The sequence below is a fragment of the Homo sapiens genome, chromosome 1 (genome assembly GCF_000001405.40).
Source record: "Homo sapiens chromosome 1, GRCh38.p14 Primary Assembly".
NCBI classification, from domain to species: domain Eukaryota; kingdom Metazoa; phylum Chordata; class Mammalia; order Primates; family Hominidae; genus Homo; species Homo sapiens.
Genome location: NC_000001.11, coordinates 224176821 through 224196008, shown reverse-complemented (window position 1 = coordinate 224196008; position 19188 = coordinate 224176821). Strand labels below are relative to the sequence as shown.

Genomic DNA, 19188 nt, shown 5'->3' with positions numbered 1-19188 from the left:
GGAGAAAGGAGTTTACAACAGAAGGGAGAACTCATGCAAAGCTACTGAGTGATTTCTTAGGACTGTCTGAGACGGGATCTCGCTCTGTCACCGAGGCTGGAGTGTAATGGCGTGCAATTTCAGTTCACTGCAACCTCCGCCTCCTGGGTTCAAGAAGCGAAACTCCAGCCGTGGGCGGTGGCTCAGGCCTGTAATCCCAGCACTTTGGGAGGCCAAGGCGGGCGGATCACGAGGTCAGGAGATTGAGACCATCCTGGCTAACACGGTGAAACCCCGTCTCTACTAAAAATACAAATTAGCCGGGCGTGGTGGTGGTCGCCTGTAGTCCCAGCTACTCGGGAGGCTGAGGCAGGAGAATGGCGTGAACGCGGGAGGCGGAGCTTGCAGTGAGCCAGATCGAGCCACTGCACTCCAGCCTGGGCGACAGAGCAGGACTCCATCTCAAAAAAAAAAGAAAAAAAGAAGCGAAACTCCTACCTCAGCCTCCTGAGTAGCTTAGGACCACAGATGCACACAACACCAGGCCCGGATAATTTTGTTTGGAGTTATTCTTTAGAGGTTATGGGGCCCAGCCTTCTTACTGCCCAGATTGGTAGCTCTCTTAAAGAATGGATCGAGTTGGCAGATGGGAGCCAGAATAATCGGGATGCCTGCTACGAAGACTGAAACTTCCATTCAGGAAAGAAGTGGTTATGTAAGTGGAGACTGGAGTTTTGGAGAGGGATGACAACCCACTCTGTGCATCCAGCAGGTAGTGAGAGGTCTGAAGTGATAGATTTGGAGGTTTTCAGCATTTACATGGCAGCTGCAGCCATTGGCTAAAGTTCTTTTGGTTGTTGTTTTTTTTTTTTGAGACGTAGTCTCACTTTGTCGCCCCGGCTGGAGTGCAGTGGCTCGATCTCGGCTGACTGCAAGCTCCGCCTCCTGGGTTCCCGCCATTCTCCTGCCTCAGCCTCCCAAGTAGCTGGGACTACAGGCGCCGGCCACTACGCCTGGCTAATTTTTTGTATTTTTTACTAGAGATGGGGTTTCACCGTATTGGCCAGGATGGTCTTGATCTCCTGACCTCGTGATCCGCCCACCTCGGCCTCCCAAAGTGCTGGGATTACAGGCGTGAGGCACCGCGCCTGGCCTTTTTTTTTTTTTTGGAGACGTTGTCTTGCTCTGTCGCCCAGACTGGAGTGCAGGGCGTGATCTCGGCTCACGCAACCTTTGCCTCCTGGGTTCAAGCGATTCTCCTGCCTCAGCTTCCCGAGTAGCCAGGACTACAGGCACATGCCACCATGCCCAGATAATTTTGTATTTTTTTTAGTAGAGACAGGGTTTCACCATATTGGTCAGGCTAGTCTTGAACTCCTAACCTCGTGATCCACCTGCCTCAGCCTCCCAAAGTACTGGTATTACAGCCACCACGCCCGGTGCCATTGGCCAGAGTTCTATAGACTTGATGGGAGTACATGATCTCTATGATCTAGCATCAAATCCAGGGGTATGTTTTGCAGATACTTTAGTGACTGAGTAAAATCTGAATTGTAAACTTGGTTCTATTGTCACTCTTTGATTGTTCTTTGAGTAACAGATTAGAAGATACTAGGAATTTTCCTAGGCAAGGGGGTCAGGAAGGGAAAGCAAAGTATTTTGGGGATGAAATGAGGTCTGTGAGACAGGCCTGGCAGTCCCACAGAGGATTCTACTCCTCACCCCGCCCTCAGCATTCTGGGTGTTGTTTTATTCTTTACGAAACTGCAATGTAGCCAACTTTTTTTTTTTTTTAGAGGGTGTTTGTCACCCAAGCTGGAGCGTAGTAGTGCGATCATGGCTCATTGTAGTCTCAATCTCAGCCTCCCAAGTAGCTGGGACTACAGGTGCACACCACCACACCACTCTTATTTTTTGAAAAGATGGGGGCCAGACACAGCGGCTCATGCCTGTAATCCCAGAACTTTGGGAGGCCAAGGCAGGCAGATCACCTGAGATCAGGAGTTTGAGACCAGCCTGGCCAACATAGTGAAAACCTGTCTCTACTAAAAATACAAAAAAAAAAAAAAAAAAAAAAAAATTAGCTGGGCATGGCTGTGCACGCCTGTGATCCCAGTTACTCAGGAAGCTGAGGCAGGAAAGTCGCTTGAACCCAGGAGGCAGAGGTTGTGGTGAGGCAAGATTGCGCCACTGCACTCCAGCCTGGACAACAGAGCAAGACTCCATTTCAAAAAATAAAAAATAAAAAAAGATGGGGTCTCACTATGTTGCCCAGGCTGGTCTCAAACTCCTGGTCTCAAGCGATCCTCCTGCCTCAGCTTTCCGAAGCATGGAATTACAGGTGTGAACCACCACACCCAGCTGCTGATGTATTTTTAAAATAATTCACCATATTACACTAAACGTATCCAAGTGACATATTTGAGGTAAGCAAGACTGCTGACATAACAACAGCCCATGCTACCAGCTACTTGAGACCAACGATCTACCATCAGACCACAGCCAGTTCCCACTGCAGTGAAATAACATGAAAGTCTTTATCAGTTGAGCAGTTTCTAATGTGAGAGTCAACACACCTGAAAAATGAATTTGAATGGTGGAAATTCAGTAAGTACTTTATTTATGAGTAAGGCTGTACAGGATTCAGCAGTGTCTAATTCGGGTCCCATATAGAAGTTAAAATTTTTAAATGAGTAATTCAGCTTACAGGGAAATATATTTTCATCTCAATCTTTTATGCTATATCATACCTCAGGCTTTTTAAAAATTATTTTTGAGATGAAATTTTAAAGTTCCCCCGGTACCCAAGTTACCATATTATATAGTATAAAGATAGTGAAATACAAAAATGTAACAAATACTAATACACTGTGATTAATAGCTGTTTATTAGCTTTTTAATAAAGCAAAACTTTATAGTGAAATAAACTAGAAATAGCTTTTTATTTTTTATATATATTTATTTATTTTTGAGATGGGGTCTTGCTCTGTTGCCCAGGGTGGAGTGCAGTGGCACAATCTTGGGTCACTGCAGCCTCTGCCTCCGCCTCCTGGGTTCAAGCAATTCTCCCACCTCAGCCTCCCATGTAGCTGGGATTACAGGCATGTGCCGCCACGCCCGGCTAATTTTTGCATTTTTAGTAGAGATGGGGTTTCACCGTGTTGGCCAGGCTGGTCTCGAACTCCTGACCTCAGGTGATCCACCCACCTTGGCCTCCCAAAGTGCTGGGATTATAGGCATGAGCCACCGTGCCTGGCGAAATAGCTTTTTAGAAGCTTTTTAAATGATATGCTTATAAAATGACAGACATGAGTGAAACATCCTCAATGACGATAATACACAAGTCACAAGTTTCCTGTGAGTGAAACTGAGCAGTACAGAGTCAGGCTGACTGTTTAAAAGCCAGATTCACTTCTTGGTATCACCGAGCTCTTACTCTGAAATTGTGCCAGGGGAGCTTCTGAGCATCACTGGTCTCAAGTTTAATAATGCAAAAATTCCATTTTATCATCTAAAGTTTTGGAGAAGAATCCCTTTGGCACTAATGATATTTACTCCAGCACCATCTCTCCTTTTTGGTGCCTCTTCATTCTTGAGTAGGGACTTATTGTATCATCCATCACAAAATCATACAGTACTTTTATCCAGGAATTGTAGTGAGGGAGGTTGTCATAGTATTCAGCTGCTATTTTCCTCACCTAGAAGGGAAAAAATACAGCAAGATGAAAAATGAGTGTTACTAGGTTCTTTCAAAGATGACTGATGAATGGTTGACACAAACACTGAGAAGGGAAACCATGAGACCTGCCTCCCTCCTCTCTCTTAAAAAAAAAAAAAAGCAGCAGCAGCAGCAGCTGTGGGAATTCTAAACAAAAAGCAGTCTACATTTCAGCAGCAGTTGAATACACTCGACCCTCTAGGTCTCTCTCCCATCACATTCCAAGGGACTAAATATCTGGCTTATTTGTAAAATTAACAACAAATACATACAATTAGATTAACTTGATATTATTAAAGAATGTACTGCATGGATGACGCCATAGAATATAAAGGCAACATCTGATCCCTGCCATCCAGGAACTTACAAATACTAATAAATTGTGGCATGCTAATTAGATAGAAATTAAGCACTTGGCTGGGTGCGGTGGCTCATACCTGTAATCCCAGGACTTTGGGAAGCCGAGGCGGGTGGATCACCTGAGGTCAGGAGTTCGAGACCAGCCTAACCAATATGGTGAAACCCCATCTCTACTAAAAATACAAAAAAATTAGCCAGACATGGTGGCGTGCGCCTGTAGTCCCAGCAACTCAGGAGGCTGAGATAGGAGAATTGCTTGAACTCGGGAGGCGGAGGTTGCAGTGAGCCGAGATTGTGCCACTGCACTCCAGCCTGGGTGAGAGAGAGACTCCATCTCAAAAAAAAAAAAAAAAAAAAAAAAGCACTTATCAAATGTGCAATTCTGCCATCTCAAGTTAAAAATGTCTTTTCATCTCAAGTTAAAAAACTATCTGGATGGGCACAGTGGTTCGTATGTATAATCCCAGCATCATTCTGGAAGGCAAGAGAATCACTTGAGCCCAGGAATTTGAGACCAGCCTGGGCAACACAGGGAAACCCATCTCTCTCTTTTTTTTTTTTTGAGACGGAGTTTCGCTCTGTCACCCAGGCTGGAGTGCAGTGGCACAATCTCGGCTCACTGCAACCTCCACTGCCCGAGTTCAAACGATTCTCCCGCCTCAGCCTCCCGAGTAGCTGGGACTATAGGTACCCGCCACCATGCCCAGCTAAGTTTTTTGTATTTTTAGTAGAGACAGGCTTTCACTATGTTGGCCAGGCTGGTCTCGAACTCCTGACCTCAGATGATCCACTCACCTAGGCCTCCCAAAGTGCTGGGATTACAGGTGTGAGCCACTGCACCCATCCAGGAAACTCCAGCTCTATAAAAATGTTAAAAATGTTAAAAATTTTAACAAACCATTTGGAGGATTAAAAGAAATTATTTAAAAAATCAGCCTGTCATAGCATGTGGCTGTAGTCCTAGCTACTTGGGAGGCTGAGGCAGGAGGATCACTTGAATCCAGGAGTTTGAGACCAGCCTGAGCAACACAGCAAGACCCTGCCTCTACAAAAAATAAAAAATTAGCCAGGCATGGTGGCACGTGCCTATAATCCTGCCTACTCAGGAGGCTGAGGTGGGAGGATCGCTTGACCCAGGAGTTGAGGCTGCAGTGAGCTATCGTACCACTGCACTCTAGACTAGGTGACAGGGCAAGACCCTGTCTCTAAAAAAACATAAAGTTAAAAAATAAAATTAAAAATAAATCCTAAGTGTAACCACTAAGCTTAAGGACCCAAGAGTGAACCCTTTGTAAAAGTAGGCTGGAAGATGCAGTATTTATATTCTTGCTCTTTTTGTTTTTTTTTTTTTTAATGAACTGCTTGGACTGACAAAATACTAGCCTGGCCAACATGGCAAAACCCCATCTCTACTAAAAATACAAAAATTAGCTGGGCGTGGTAGCATGCGCCTGTAATCCCAACTACTTGGGAGACTGAGGCATGAGAATCGTTTGAACCCGGGAGGTGGAGGTTACAGTGAGCCGAGATCGTGCCACTGCCCGCCAGCCTGGGCGACTGAGTGAGACACCGTCTCAAAAAACAAACAAATGAAAAAACAAAATTAGAATATGTATCAAATCCTTTACTTACCAGTGGAAGACTTTTTCCAGGAATGTTGGGGAAATCATGATGTTCATTATGATAACCCACATTGAAGGTAAGTAAATTCAGAGGCCCATAATATGAGTAAGTTTCATGACCCTTTAAGAACATGTAATGCTCAGCTATAAAATGTCCAGAAATTGGGTGCAAACCCAGGCCAAGTAAAGATGCTGCCAACATGTAGACTAAGGATTTAATTCCCAAAAAGTAATAAATTAAAATGTCAAAAGTGACCTGTGCCACGGTATTGATAACTTCCAGATACGTAATTGGTTTGGGGTTGATGAACAGAGGTCGAAAGGCATAAAAGAGAGGCTGAAGAATAACCCATATAAACTTTCTGAAAGCGGTACAGAAGAACCAGCCCTCAAAATCGGTAGGAATATCTACATCGACGCCATCAGCTCCAAGGTACCGATGATGATCCATGTGATACCTCTTAAAGGAAATTGAATATGGAATCCCAATAGGAAGATTAGCAAACATTCCAAACCAGCGATTCCACATTGCTTTGCAGTTGCCAAAGGCAGCATTGTGGGCAATCTCATGAATAGCCAGAGTCATTGAGTGGTTAATGCAACTGCCAAACGCATAGGCCCCAAATATGACCCATTTCCAGTCCAAGTCTTTTACTATGTAAAATGCACCCAACTGGGTGAGAACCATCATAATTATAATCCATATCAAATTGGGATCAGGTTTCATCAAGGACTTTATCTCTGGATACTTTGCTGTAAAGAAAAAACAAAAAAACAGGAACTAAGAAAAGTATGTAATAGTTCACCAATTATAATTAAATTAACACCAATTAAACTAACACATTAAATTTGTTCTGTAAATCATATTCCCTTTACTAGAGACTTTAGTGGATATTTAATAACACAGGGAAGGATTCTACTAGTAAAGTTATGAAATATCATGTCACAATAATTTGAGAATTTATGCAGGAAAAATTAGCCTCAAAGTTTAGAAGTTCCACATTCTTTATATTAAAATACATGTTATTTCTGTGTTTAGACAGAGGTACAGCATTCTTACCTTATATAAAACGATTAAATTAACACATCTGACAAAGGATAGAATATAATATACATTTTGTAGTTACCCTAAAATCATGAAACTGGTATTCACAGTTTTCTCAGACAAATCAACATGCTCCAAGTAATTCTGTACTGAATTTTCCCAAAATTGTAATAGTATATAAAAACCAATACTACAGGCTACCAATATAATCAGGGAAAGAACAGTCCTTTCAACAAATGGTGCTAGACCGACTTGTTATCAACAGGCAAAAGAATGGATTCAGACCCCTACCTTACACCATACACAAAAATGAACTCAAAACAGATCACAGACCCAAATTTATAAGAAAATTATAAAACTCTGATAAGAAAACATAGAAATAAATCTTCATGGCCTTTGTGGTTTCTTAGATACTATAACAAGTACAAGTGACAAAAGAAAACAGAGAAATCGGACAGCATCAAAAACTTTCTGTTGCACATGATACTGTCAAGAAAGTAAAAAGACAATCCACAGAAGCGGGGTTATGTTTGCAAATCATGTATCTCATAAGGGACCTATATCCAGAATATATGAAGAACTCTTACAACTAATAATCCAATTAAAAAATGGGCAAAGGATCTGAACCCACTTTTCTCCAAAAGATACGGAAACAGTCAAGAAACACATGAAAGAGGCTCAACACCGTTAGTCATTAGGAAAGTGCAAACTGAAACCATAGATACCACCTCACACTCACTAGGATGACTATAATAAAAAAAGGTAGGTAAAAACAAGGATGTGGAGAAATTAGAACCCTCATACTTTGCTAGTGGGAATATAAAATGGTGCAGCTGCTTTGGAAAACTGTACAGCAGTTCCTCAAAATGTTAAACACCTGGTATATCCATACAAAGGAATATTATTCAGCCAGAAAAAGGAATCATACACTGACATATGCTATAACATGAATGAACCTTAAAATATTATTTTATTGAAATATTATTTTATTGAAAATATATTATTTTAATGAACCTTAAAATATTTAGAGACAGGGTCTACCTCTGTCACTCAGGCTGAAGTACAGTGATGCCATCATAGCTCACTACAGCCTCAAACTCCTGGACTCAAGTGATCCTCCTGCCTCAGTCACCCTAGTAGCTGGGACTACAGGAGCATGCCACTGTGCCCAGCTAAAATATTATGCTAATGGCTGGGTGCAGTGGCTCACACCTATAATGCCAGCACTCTGAGAGGCCAAGGCAGGAGGATCACTTGAGCCCAGGAATTCAAGATCAGCCTGGGCAACATAACAGGACCCTGTCTCTACAAATTAAAAAAAAAAAAAAATTTATATTATGCTAAGTAAAAGCCAATCATAAAAGATCAGGTATTTTATGATTTCATGTATATGAAATGTCCAGAATAAGCAAATCTATAGGCCACAAAGTAGATTAGTGGTTACCTAGGTAGAAGCAGGGGATATGAGGGACTGCTAATGAGTATAGGGTTTCTTTTGGTGATGATGAAATGTTCTAAGGTTATATGGTGGTGACAGCTGCACAACTCTGTGAATATACTAAAAAATACTGAACTGTACACTTTAAATGAATAAATCATGATAGTTGAATTATAATCTCAATAAAGCTATTGGCCAGGTGCTGTGGCTCACACCATTAATCCAGCACTTTGGGAGGCTGAGGCACAAAGACTGCCTGAGGCCCAGTGTTCAAGACCAGCCTGGGCAAACAGATTCTATTTCTACCAAAAATAAAAAAAATTAGCCAGGTGAGGTGGCACAAGCCTGTAGTCCCAGCTACTTAGGATGCTGAAGCGGGAGCATCACTTGAGCCCAAGAATTTATGATCACACCACTGCACTCCAGCCTGGGCAACACAGTGAGACTCTCTCTCAAAAAATAAAACATTAAAAAGCTGTATCATGTTAAAGTATAACAGTGAAGGAACCATTTCTTGTGATTTATTCTTTTTTTTTTTTGAGACGGAGTCTCGCTCTGTTGCCCAGGCTGGAGTGCAATGGTGAGATCTCAGCTCACTGCACCCTCTGCCTCCTGGGTTCAAGCAATTCTCCTGCCTCAGCCTTCCCAGTAGCTGGGATTACAGGCGCCCACCACCACACCCAGCTAATTTTTGTATTTTTAGTAGAGACGGGGTTTCACCATGTTGGCCAGACTGGTCTTGAACTCCTGACCTCAGGTGACCTGTCCACCTCAGCCACCCAAGGGCTGGGATTACAGCCATGAGCCACCCAGCCCAGCTCATCCTCACGAATTTCAAACAGATGCCTTGTAAATGAACTTTTAATGTGAACTCTAAATGTAAACTTAAAGTGTACAATTGTTGGTTGTTCTATCAGGCCCCTTCCCTCCCCCGCCAAAAAGTCAATACTTTCAGAAAGATCTCTTATCATTTGTGTATAATTTAAACAAATCTAAAGATTCTTTCTACAGGTTATTCCATCTCCCACCCTGAAACAGAACATGAGTTAGTATTTACACCTGCATGGAAAACATTGTACACTGTATTTTCATTGAGAAATATGTAGTCCTTCTTTTTTTTTTTTTTTTTTTTTTGAGACGGAGGCTCACTCTGTCGCCCAGGCTGGAGTGCAGTGGCACCATCTCAGCTCACTGCAAGCTCTGCCTCCCGGGTTCACGCCATTCTCCTGCCTCGGCCTCCTGAGTAGTTGGGACTACAGGTGGCTGCCGCCACGCCCGGCTAATTTTTTGTATTTTTAGTAGAGATGGGGTTTCACCGTGTTAGCCAGGATGGTCTCGATCTCCTGACCTCATGATCCGCCCACCTTAGCCTCCTAAAGTGCTGGGATTACAGGCGTGAGCCACCATGCCCGGCCAAGAAATATGTGGTCCTTTTACTTTCCCAGTGAAATGGTTCAGTGATAAGTCTGTGGGGGGAAAAAAGGCTCAGTGTGAGGTAAGTATCAATCAGCACCTTCTCACTTCCTTCATCTCTTTTTCTTGAGACAGTCTCACTCTGTTGCCCAGGCTGGAACGCGGTGGGGCAATCACGGCTCACTGCAGCCTCTACCTCCCCAGCTCAAGCAATCCTCCCACCTCAGCCTTCTGTGTAGCTGGGACCACAGGCACATGCCACCATGTCCCGCTAATTAAATTTTTTTTTTTTTGGTAGAGATGGGGTTTTGCCATGTTGCCCAGGTTGGCCTCGAACTCCTGAGTTCAAGTGTTCCTCTCGCCTCAGCCTTCTGAGTAGCGGGACAGGCATGCACGCCTAGCTAATTTTTTAATTTCTCGTGCAGATGGGGCTGTTCTGAACTGGCCTCAAGCGATCTTCTTGCCTCAGCTTCTCAAAGTGCTCGGATTACAGGCAAAAAAAAGCCACCACACCCGTCCTGATTTTCAGAATATTAAGTAGCTCAGTTTCAGTATTCCAGAGTTGGTTTTTACACAGGTAGGACGCTAGATTATTCCTATGTAACATGTAGATAAGGCATTGATAAAATATATCATATGTGGCCTGGCAGGGTGGCTCACGCCTGTAATCCCAGGACTTTGGGAGGCCATGGCAGGCGCATCATCTGAGACCAGCCTGGCCAATGTGGCAAAACCCTGTCTCTACTAAAAATAAAAATAGAAAAACTTAGCCAGGTATGGTGGCGGGCGTCTGTAATCCCAGGTACTCGGGAGACTGGGGCAGGCAGAACTGCTTGAACCCAGGAGGGAGAGGTTGCAGTGAGCCGAGACTGGGCCACTGCACTCCAGCCTGGGTGACAGAGTGCGGCTCCGTCTCAAAAAAGTATCATGCTATCTCATATCAAGTATGTGTAAGTGATGTGCCAAACAAATTGCTACTGGCAGGCTGAGGTATGCGGACCACTGGAGCCCAGGCTGCAGTGATCATCATGCCTGTGAACAACCACCGCACTCCAGCTTGGGCAACAAAGCAAGACCCTTTCTCTAATGGAGTGTAGGGGAGGAGGAAGAAGAGGAGGAAGGGAATTCAAGAACCCAAAGTTACCGGGTGCAGTGGCTTACGCCTTTAAAATCCCAGCACTTTGGGAGGCCAAAGCGGACAGATTGCTTGAGCCCAGGAGTTCAAGACCAGCCTGGGCAACACGGAGAAACCCATCTCTACAAAAAATAGAAAAATCAACCAGGCATGGTGGTGTGCGCTTGTGGTCCCAGCTACTTGCTTTTTCTTTTCACTGGGCAAATGAATGTTGAGAAGAAAAACTAAGGAAATACTATATATAAGGAATAATTGCTCATGTTCAACTCACCGTTTCCTCAATTTAAAAAAAGTGTGTGTGTGTGTGTGTGTGTGTGTGTGTGTGTGTAAACGGGGGGCTCTCACTATGTTACTCAGGATGGTCTCAAACTTCTGGGCTGAAGCGATCCTCCCGCCTCAGCCTCCCGAAGTGCTAGGATTACAGGCCTGAGCTACCGTGACCGGTCCCCGTTTCCTCAACAGAGGTTAAAAAGCTCGTGCTCTGGCCGGGCACGGTGGTTCACGCCTGTAATCCCAAAACTTCGGGAGGCCAAGGCGGGCGGATCACCTGAGGTCAGGAGTTCGAGATAAGCCTGGCCAACATGGTGAAACCCCGTCTCTAACTAAAAAAGATACAAACATTAGCCAGGCGTAGTGGTGGGAACCTGTAATCCCAGCTACTCGGGAGGCTGAGACAGAAGAATCGCTTGAACCCAGGAGGCAGAGGTTGCAGCGAGTGGAGATCGCGCCACTGCACTCCAGCATGAGCAACAGAGTGAGACTCAGTCTCAAAAAACAAACAAACAAACAAACAAAAAACAAACACGTGCAGTCTCAAAAAACAAACAAACAAAAAACAAACACGTGCTCTGGAAGAGGCAACCGAATGCGCATTAGAATCCCCCTAGCATTTAGTCACGCGTTCTTATTTCATTTTTTAAAACAGCGATAATACCAACCAAGTAGAATTACCAAGAGGATGAAATTGGGTAATGTTTGTAAAGCATTCCACACAATCCCTAGCATATTAGGAGTAGCCTGGGAGAGATGAGCATTCTCTATGTAACACAGAAGGCCCGAATCCTCTGGAGAGTTAAGGCCTCTCAATTAGCTGTCAGGGGACCAGCAGGCCACGCCACATATTTTCCTTATTTGGCAAGTCTTCCATTTTCAGTCTTTTCATCCACAAAACCGAGATGGATGAAAAATGCCTACGAATCCGCCGTTCTTACGTCCCAGGCTTGTCGTGAGGATCAATGGGACAAGCGGCGTGAACCGACCAGGGCCCATCAAGTCCGAGAAGCCCCGGGGGGCATATGGAGGGACGCCGGCCCCCTTAACGGGCCCAAGGCCGGGACTGCGGCCGCCCCCGCCAGTACTGCCCGCCGGCGCCCGACACCCTGAGCAGGGCTCGCTGGTAGGCCCAAGGATGCCCAGGACCACACCCTGCCTAGCACTCAGGCAGCCCCAAGGCCGGCACCCGCTCACCTCGGCCCGCTCCGGAGGAGAGGGAGTGGTGAGAGGAAAGGGCGCCCACCTGAGGGCACAGGAATCTTCTAGCGAAAAGATCTACTCAAGGCTGGCACAGCCGGGGACACCCTTCGCCCCAACCGGCCGGCGTGGGCCTGGCGGGGACTCCCGCGCTCGGGGACGCGCCTGCGCCTCTTCGCGGAAGGGTCGGAGCTGCGCGGCTCCGAGGACCCGTCCCTCCCCCCGCTCCTCGCCCAGCCTCTCCCGCGCTGACCCGCGGGCTGGCGGCCCGAGCGGCGACGGGACGCGACGGGGAGCAGGCTGCTAACGGGCCTCCGGCGCCCACGACCGCGCAGGGCCCGCGAGGGGAGAGCGCGCCCCGGCGCCGGGAGGCCACGCACGCACATAACGGGGCGCCCGCTGGCCCTCACCCAGGATCTCCCGGCGCCGGTCGGCGTGCGGCTGGTCGGTGTAGACCCACTCGAAGTCTTCCCGCGAGACGCGGCTCCCCATGGCGACAGCGGTGGCTTGCAGACTAGCTGTCGGCTCTCGCTCCCAGCCGGCTGCTCAGAGGTGGCGGCGGCGGCGGCGGCTCCCCGGCTGGTGTGGTGTCGGCCGGCTGTGGCGGAGCGCGGAGGAGACGGAGGCGTGGGCGGAGTCCCGAGGCCCCGCCCCCCCCGGCCCGCCCGCCTGCCTCTCTGGGTGGAGGGCGCGTGGCGCTCCCAGGCCCCCGTGCGGGGCCGGCTCTCAGCGATTCTGGGACGCGGGGTTCTGAGCTTCGGTGACTCGGCCACCATCCAGGATGCCGCGTTCTTGCGAGTGCCCGCCCCTGCGGCCTGCTGCGCCGGAGCCCGGAGAAGATGAAAAAGGAAGGAATGGTCTCAAGTGAGATAAACCTGCCGCCCTAACGCCTCCGCGAGGGGAGCACCGGGCACGGCTACGGTCACACCGAGTCTGGAGGCCCCGGAGCCCTTCTTAAATGGCAGCTGGCCTAAGTTTTGTTTAATTTTTAAAAAGCAAATTAGCCATTGAGTCATATTTCGCTGCCTTCTGGAAATAATACCTCAGGGAAAAAATGCAGAGTGCGTGACAATTAAAAGCTAATCAAGTAAAAAGAAAACACCATTATTAAGAGGGGGTGATGATGTGGGATTTGTTGTTGTGCTTGAATTATTCTAGTGTGACCACTTCTGTTAAGAGATGATTGCTCAACCTTGCATCTACCTGTCGCAGAAGTAATCAACCACAACCTCTTCCTGAAAGAAAGGTTTTGAAACGAAACTAATTTTGTTTCAACATTAGTTACCACGTCTACATCAAAGAGCAACTTAAAGATTACAAAAAGAAGATAACCAAAGCAGGTGTGCCTCCTAGTCAAAGAACATGCTGTGCACGCGCACACGGCACACACACACACACAAATCTGATCGAGCCCCTAGATCTGACTGTTAATTTATAGAAAATAGAAAGGACATTTGGCCGGGTGCGGTGGCTCACGTCTGTAATCCTTGCACTCTGTGAGGCAGAGGCGGGTCCATCACCTGAGGTCGGGAGTTCGAGACCAGCCTGATCAGGATGGTGAAACCCCCGTCTCTACTAAAAATATAAAAAAATTAGCTGGGCGTAGTGGCAGGCGCCTGTAATCCCAGCTACTCAGGAGGCTGAGGCAGGGGAATCGCTCGAACTGGGAGGCAGAGGTTGCAGTGAGCTGAGACGGAGCCACTGCACTCCAGCCTGGGGGACAGACGGAGACTCCCTCTCAAGAAAAAAAAAAGAAAATAGAAAGGACAGAGGAATGTGTTAAACTAGGCCGTGGGGATGAAACTAGCAAGATCCAACTCTGGGAGACTATATGGGACAATGTCTGGGTTCTCTAATAAATGAAACTCAAGGCAAAAAAAGAGAAACCTGTAGATTAAAAGGAGTTTAAAAGACATACCAACCAATTGCAACGTGTTGACCTCATTTAGATTCTGATTGAAATAGTTTAAAAACATTGACATGAAATAATTGAACTCAGATATCAATTGGATATGTGATGATATTAAGGAATTATGAATTTCTTAAGTGTGATAATAGTATTATGGTTATAGTGGGTTTTGTTTTTTTTGAGACAGAGTCCTGCTCTGTTGCCCAGGCTGGAGTGCAGTGGTGGCCTCATGTCTCACTTCAGTCTTGACCTGAGCTTAAGCCATCCTCCCACCCCAGTCTCCCGAGGAGCTGGGATCACAGGCGTGCACCACCATGCTTGGCTACTTTTTTGAATTTTTGATAGAGATGGGGCCTCACCTTGTTGCCCAGGCTGGTCTCAAACGCTTGGGCTCAAGTGATCTCAAAGTATTGGGATCACAGGCATGAGCTACTACATCCGACCCCAGGAGCATTATTAATAAGTCCCTAAGACCCTCTCAGTACATTCACTTCTGAAATAGAGAGGGCCAGCACGGCTGAGACATCTAGCAGAGAAGGCTGTGAGAGCAGAGGGGAGACAGAACAGTGACACCTGGAGTGGAGGCCTGAAGGCTGATCAGAGCCCAGCGAGGGTCATGTCTGCAGGGCATGCTAGCAAATGCGTGGCTGGGTCAGCCTCCAGAGGGTCCCAGTCTCGAAAAAGGAGTGGGATTTGATGATGGATAGATACACAGGTCTGATCATGCAGGAGCTTTTTAGTTGTTAATGAAATGGTGGAGGAAAAAGAAGGTGGGGAGTGTCACCTGGAAAAGGACAGCTTTGTATTTGCCAAGTTTCATCTGGATTGGCAGATGGCACATGAAGCTGATAATTGGACTCAACTCAGGAGGAAGTTTTCAGGTGCTGACAAGTAAATGTATCCCTGCAGTTCAGAACGCAGTTGCTATCACAGGCATGTGTGAACTGGCACACCAGTCCAAAAGGTGTGCGGAGGCTTACGTCTGTAGTCTGAGCACTTTGGGAGGCCGAGGTAGGGGGATCGCTTGAGGGCAGGGGTTCGGGACAAGCCTGGGCAACATGGCAAAAACCCACCTCTATAAAAAATACAAAAATTATGCCGGGTATGGTGGCTCATGCCTGTAATCCCAGCACTTTGGGAGGCCAAGGCGGTCTCCAAGGTCAGGAGATCCAGACCATCCTGGCTAACACGGTGAAACCCCATCTCTACTAAAAATACAAAAAAAATTAGCCAGGCATGGTGGGGGGGGCGCCTGTAGCCCCAGCTACTTGGGGGGCTGAGGAAGGAGAATGGCATGAAACCGGGAGGCGGAGCTTGCAGTGAGCCGAGATCGCACCACTGCACTCCAGACTGGGCGACAGAGCAAGACTCCGTCTCAAAAAAAAAAAAAAAAAATTTAACTGGGCGTGGTGGCCCATGTTTGTGGTCCCACCTATTGCTGAGGCTGAGGTGGGAAGATTGCTTGAGCCCAGGAGGTCGAGGCTTCAATGAGCTGAGAAATGAGCTGAGATTGTGGCACTGCACTCTAGCCTGTGTGACAGAGTGAGGCTTTGTCTCAAAAACATTAAAAAATAAAAGAAAGAAAGAAAAATGCAGAGTTTGAAAAAAAATGTGAATCTGGATATACCATTTTTTTTTTCTGAGATGGAGTTGCGCTCTGTTGCCCAGGCTGGAGTGCAGTGTCAAGATCTTGGCTCACTGCAACCTCTGCCTCCTGGGTTCAAGCGATTCTCCTGCCTCACCCTCCCGAGTAGCTGGGATTACAGGTGTGTGCCACCACGTCCAGCAACTTTTTGTATTTTTACTAGAGACGGGGTTTCACCATGTTGGCCAGGCTGGTCTTGAACTCCTGACCTTAAGTGATCTGCCCTTCTTGGCTTCCCAAAGTGCTGGGATTACAGGCATGAGCACCACACCTGGCTTGGACATTCTTTTTTTTTAAAAAAAGTTACAATTCATTTAATAGCAACTGGTAATCATGAAATTTTCTTATTTTGTTTAAACCCTCTTTAAACAAAAGTCTGCAAATTAGCACTGATCATTTGCAAAAGTCATTACATATACTGCCATTTTTCTTAAGGTTGACCAAAGATAACCTAGAATTATAGCCGTTACATAATCACACAAAATGATTATATATTAATCAGACCTGGTTTATCACCAGCATTTATAAAAACAGACGTAGGGAAAGAACTAGGTCTAGGGACACGTACATGGTCTTAATATAGCGACTGTTTATCCTGTCCTGACTATTACAAAATCAATTTTGACATTCTAAAGTAAACTATTTGAGCTACAGGATTGTCATGGGCATTGATAGCTATTTTAATGATGTCTAGGCATGCTTCTTTAATTTGGACTTTTAAAAGTTCTTAATATATACGCGTAATAAAAAAGTAAGCTAAGAAGTATAGCCAGGCATGGTGGCTCACGCCTGTAATTCCAGCACTTTGGGAGGCCGAGGTGGGTGGATCACAAGGTCAGGAGTTCACGACCAGCCTGGCCAAGATGGTGAAACCCCGTCTCTACTAAAAATACAAAAATTAGCTGGGCATGGCGGTGGGTGCTTGTAATCCCAGCTACTTGGGAAGCTGAGGCAGAAAACAGCTTGAACCCGGGAGGCGGAGGTTGCAGTGAGCTGAGATTGCACCACTGCACACTAGCCTGGGCGACAGAGCGAGACTGTCTCAAAAAAAAAAAAAAGAAGTATAAATAAAATGCCTTGAAGTTTTAAAAAAAGATTCTTAATGGATTATCTAGCTTTCACATCTTTTCCTTAACCTTGTCAAATAATTTGTCTTGAAGCAAACATACTAGTTATTCTGGAAAAACGCTCTCCAGTCGGCTGTTGGAAGCTGTGGTGAATCGCAGCCAGCCATGATCATATTAGGAAATTTAAGATGAAGTAGTTTTCAGATGAGGGCAGCTGTACTTTTGAAATCAATATGGATTTTTCCTTTTCCATCTGCTTGATTTTTGAAAGGGCAGTTTATTTTTGAGGCCATTTCAATAGTGATAACAGTTGAGATTGAATGGTATTGACTACTGTAATTCATAGAAGAGTAATACAGAAAACATTCTTTATTCACTTCAAGCAAATAATCGTAAGAATTTTATGTTATCTATTTCTTTTCTTTTCTTTTTATTTTATTTTTGAGATGGAGTTTCGCTCTGTCGCCCAGGCTGGAGTACAATGGCCCAATCTTGGCTCACTGCAATCTCCGCCTCCTGAGTTCTGGTGATTCTCCTGCCTCAGCCTCCCGAGTAGCTGGGATTACAGATTCATGTCACCACGCCTGGCTAATTTTTGTACTTTAGTTTCACCATATTGGTCAGGCTGGTCTCGAAACTCCTGACCTCAGGTGATCCACCTGCCTCAGCCTCCCAAAGTGCTGGGATTACAGGCATGAGCTACAGCGCCTGGCCCAAATTCATGAATGTTTTAACTATAAATTTACATGTGCTAATTTTATATTTAAATAATACATTTTAAGTAAGAAAAATATATATTGACAACTAATTACTGACTAGAGTAGTTGTCTGTTATTGGTGTCAAGAAATAGATGACATAAGGCTGGATGCGGTGGCTGATGCCTGTAATCCCAGCACTTTGGGAGGCTGAGGCAGGTGGATCACCTGAGGTCAAGAGTTTGAGACCAGCCTGGCCAACATGGTGAAACCCCGTCTCTACTAAAACTACAAAATTAGCTGGGCTTGGTGGCACATGCCTGTAATCCCAGCTACTTGGGAGGCTGAGGCAGGAGAATCGCTTGAAGCTGGGAGGCAGAGGTTGCAGTGAGCTGAGATTGCACCATTGCACTCCAGCCTGGGCAACAAGAGCAAAACTCCGTCTAAAAAAAAAAAAAAATTCGCGAATTTGTTCATAACTAAAGCTGACTTAGTGTGGCAGGGGAAATAATCCCTTGCCTGTTTTGTCTTCTGCCATGCTGGCCTCACTCAGTGTAGCTAGTCCTGGCCAGTTTGGGGGCATGATGTGCTGCCATTTACTCCTGTTATCTTTAGTACCACAGTGACCTCCAGTCTCGGGATCTATACACCAGACCTGTCTTCCCTCGGACCCTGCAGGTTTCTCCCAGTCCATAGCCTTCTCTGGGCTTCTGGGTCTCACTCCTGTGGAGGGATGATCTCTCTCAGCTGATTGCCTCGTCCATGAAGGGATGTACAGGATTCTGTGTGTTTGTCCTCAGGCCCATCAGGTTAGACACTTCCCTTAAAGAGTGCTAATCTATTGCATACACATCATGTTGAAAGCAGGGGCTGGGTGCGGTGGCTCATGCCTATAATCCCAGCACTTTGGGAGGCTGAGGCAGGCGGATCACTTGAGGCTAGGAGTTCGAGACCAGCTTGGCCAACATGGTGAAACCCTGTCCCTACTAAAAATACAAAAATTAGCCAGGCATGGTGGCGAGCACCTATAGTCCCAGCTACTCAGGAGGCTGAGGCAGAGAATCTCCTGAACACGAGAGGTTGAGGTTGCAATGAGCAAAGATTATGCCAATGCACGCCAGCCTGGGCAACAGAGTGAGACTCCATCTTAAAAACAAATAAACAAAAAACCTTAATGTACAAAAATATTTTTTATTTTAATGTATATATATTTTTATTTAATTTTTTTAAATTATACTTTAAGTTTTAGGGTACATGTGCACAACGTGCAGGTTAGTTACATATGTATACATGTGCCATGTTGGTGTCCTGCACCCATTAACTCGTCATTTAACATTAGGTATATCTCCTAATGCTATCCCTCCCCCCTCCCCCCTATTTTTATTTTTATTATTGAGACGGAGTCTCACTCTATCACCCAGGCTGGGGTGCTGTGGCACAATCTCAGCTCACTGCAACCTCTGTCTCTCAGGTTCAAGGGATTCTCCCACCTCAGCCTCCCGAGTAGCTGGGCCTACAGGTATGTGCCACCACACCCAGCTAATTATTGGGCTTTTTTTTTTTTTTTTTTTTTTTTGAGACAGAGTTTCACTCTTGTTGCCCAGGCTGGAGTACAGTGGTGCATTCTTGGCTCACTGCAACTTCTGCCTCCCAGGTTCAAGCGATTCTCCTGCCTCAGCCTCCCGAGTAGC

General features: G+C 46.0%; 1 protein-coding gene and 1 non-coding gene across 5 annotated transcripts, besides 14 other annotated features; both read right to left on the bottom strand.

Annotated features, from left to right (window-relative positions):
- Nucleotides 18-87: an enhancer, noted in NCBI's record as "active region_2603". NCBI's record gives its function as "activates an Ori minimal core promoter by ATAC-STARR-seq in GM12878 lymphoblastoid cells {active_cell/tissue: GM12878}" and the evidence as "EXISTENCE:reporter gene assay evidence [ECO:0000049][PMID:35858748]".
- Nucleotides 2568-12769, bottom strand: DEGS1 (delta 4-desaturase, sphingolipid 1). 4 transcript variants are annotated; one of them, NM_001321541.2, is made up of 4 exons: nt 12591-12769; nt 5690-6432; nt 4853-4917; nt 2568-3677 (listed from the first exon to the last, which is right to left on the bottom strand). In NM_001321541.2, exons 1-3 carry the CDS (start codon nt 12670-12672, stop codon nt 4876-4878), a joined length of 867 nt encoding a protein of 288 aa, NP_001308470.1. In that variant the 5' UTR covers nt 12673-12769; the 3' UTR covers nt 2568-3677; nt 4853-4875. The 4 variants fall into 4 exon arrangements, with proteins under 4 accessions (NP_001308470.1, NP_003667.1, NP_001308471.1 ...); NM_003676.4 differs by lacking the exon at nt 4853-4917; NM_001321542.2 differs by lacking the exons at nt 4853-4917; nt 12591-12769 and adding an exon at nt 12178-12329.
- Nucleotides 3381-3450: a silencer, noted in NCBI's record as "silent region_1850". NCBI's record gives its function as "represses an Ori minimal core promoter by ATAC-STARR-seq in GM12878 lymphoblastoid cells {active_cell/tissue: GM12878}" and the evidence as "EXISTENCE:reporter gene assay evidence [ECO:0000049][PMID:35858748]".
- Nucleotides 9296-9845: an enhancer, noted in NCBI's record as "active region_2602". NCBI's record gives its function as "activates an Ori minimal core promoter by ATAC-STARR-seq in GM12878 lymphoblastoid cells {active_cell/tissue: GM12878}" and the evidence as "EXISTENCE:reporter gene assay evidence [ECO:0000049][PMID:35858748]".
- Nucleotides 10397-10456: an enhancer, noted in NCBI's record as "active region_2601". NCBI's record gives its function as "activates an Ori minimal core promoter by ATAC-STARR-seq in GM12878 lymphoblastoid cells {active_cell/tissue: GM12878}" and the evidence as "EXISTENCE:reporter gene assay evidence [ECO:0000049][PMID:35858748]".
- Nucleotides 10397-10722: a biological region, named in NCBI's record as "Sharpr-MPRA regulatory region 9300".
- Nucleotides 10428-10722: a silencer, noted in NCBI's record as "tiled region #9300; K562 Repressive non-DNase unmatched - State 2:TssF". NCBI's record gives its function as "represses a minimal TATA promoter and a strong SV40 promoter by Sharpr-MPRA in K562 cells {active_cell/tissue: K562}" and the evidence as "EXISTENCE:reporter gene assay evidence [ECO:0000049][PMID:27701403]".
- Nucleotides 11930-12759: an enhancer, noted in NCBI's record as "H3K27ac hESC enhancer chr1:224370952-224371781 (GRCh37/hg19 assembly coordinates)". NCBI's record gives its function as "activates a minimal SCP1, AML or CMV promoter by ChIP-STARR-seq in naive H9 embryonic stem cells {active_cell/tissue: H9 hESC(naive)}" and the evidence as "EXISTENCE:reporter gene assay evidence [ECO:0000049][PMID:30033119]".
- Nucleotides 12024-12103: a silencer, noted in NCBI's record as "silent region_1849". NCBI's record gives its function as "represses an Ori minimal core promoter by ATAC-STARR-seq in GM12878 lymphoblastoid cells {active_cell/tissue: GM12878}" and the evidence as "EXISTENCE:reporter gene assay evidence [ECO:0000049][PMID:35858748]".
- Nucleotides 12264-12643: a silencer, noted in NCBI's record as "silent region_1848". NCBI's record gives its function as "represses an Ori minimal core promoter by ATAC-STARR-seq in GM12878 lymphoblastoid cells {active_cell/tissue: GM12878}" and the evidence as "EXISTENCE:reporter gene assay evidence [ECO:0000049][PMID:35858748]".
- Nucleotides 12744-12943: a silencer, noted in NCBI's record as "silent region_1847". NCBI's record gives its function as "represses an Ori minimal core promoter by ATAC-STARR-seq in GM12878 lymphoblastoid cells {active_cell/tissue: GM12878}" and the evidence as "EXISTENCE:reporter gene assay evidence [ECO:0000049][PMID:35858748]".
- Nucleotides 12744-13593: a biological region, named in NCBI's record as "H3K27ac hESC enhancer GRCh37_chr1:224370121-224370951".
- Nucleotides 12760-13590: an enhancer, noted in NCBI's record as "H3K27ac hESC enhancer chr1:224370121-224370951 (GRCh37/hg19 assembly coordinates)". NCBI's record gives its function as "activates a minimal SCP1, AML or CMV promoter by ChIP-STARR-seq in naive H9 embryonic stem cells {active_cell/tissue: H9 hESC(naive)}" and the evidence as "EXISTENCE:reporter gene assay evidence [ECO:0000049][PMID:30033119]".
- Nucleotides 13094-13183: an enhancer, noted in NCBI's record as "active region_2600". NCBI's record gives its function as "activates an Ori minimal core promoter by ATAC-STARR-seq in GM12878 lymphoblastoid cells {active_cell/tissue: GM12878}" and the evidence as "EXISTENCE:reporter gene assay evidence [ECO:0000049][PMID:35858748]".
- Nucleotides 13444-13593: an enhancer, noted in NCBI's record as "active region_2599". NCBI's record gives its function as "activates an Ori minimal core promoter by ATAC-STARR-seq in GM12878 lymphoblastoid cells {active_cell/tissue: GM12878}" and the evidence as "EXISTENCE:reporter gene assay evidence [ECO:0000049][PMID:35858748]".
- LOC124900425 (small nucleolar RNA SNORA72) lies at nt 16242-16368 on the bottom strand. Its single transcript, XR_007067369.1, has one exon. It is a non-coding gene; the product is annotated as a small nucleolar RNA SNORA72 (small nucleolar RNA).
- Between the last annotated feature and the right edge of the window lie 2820 nt (nt 16369-19188).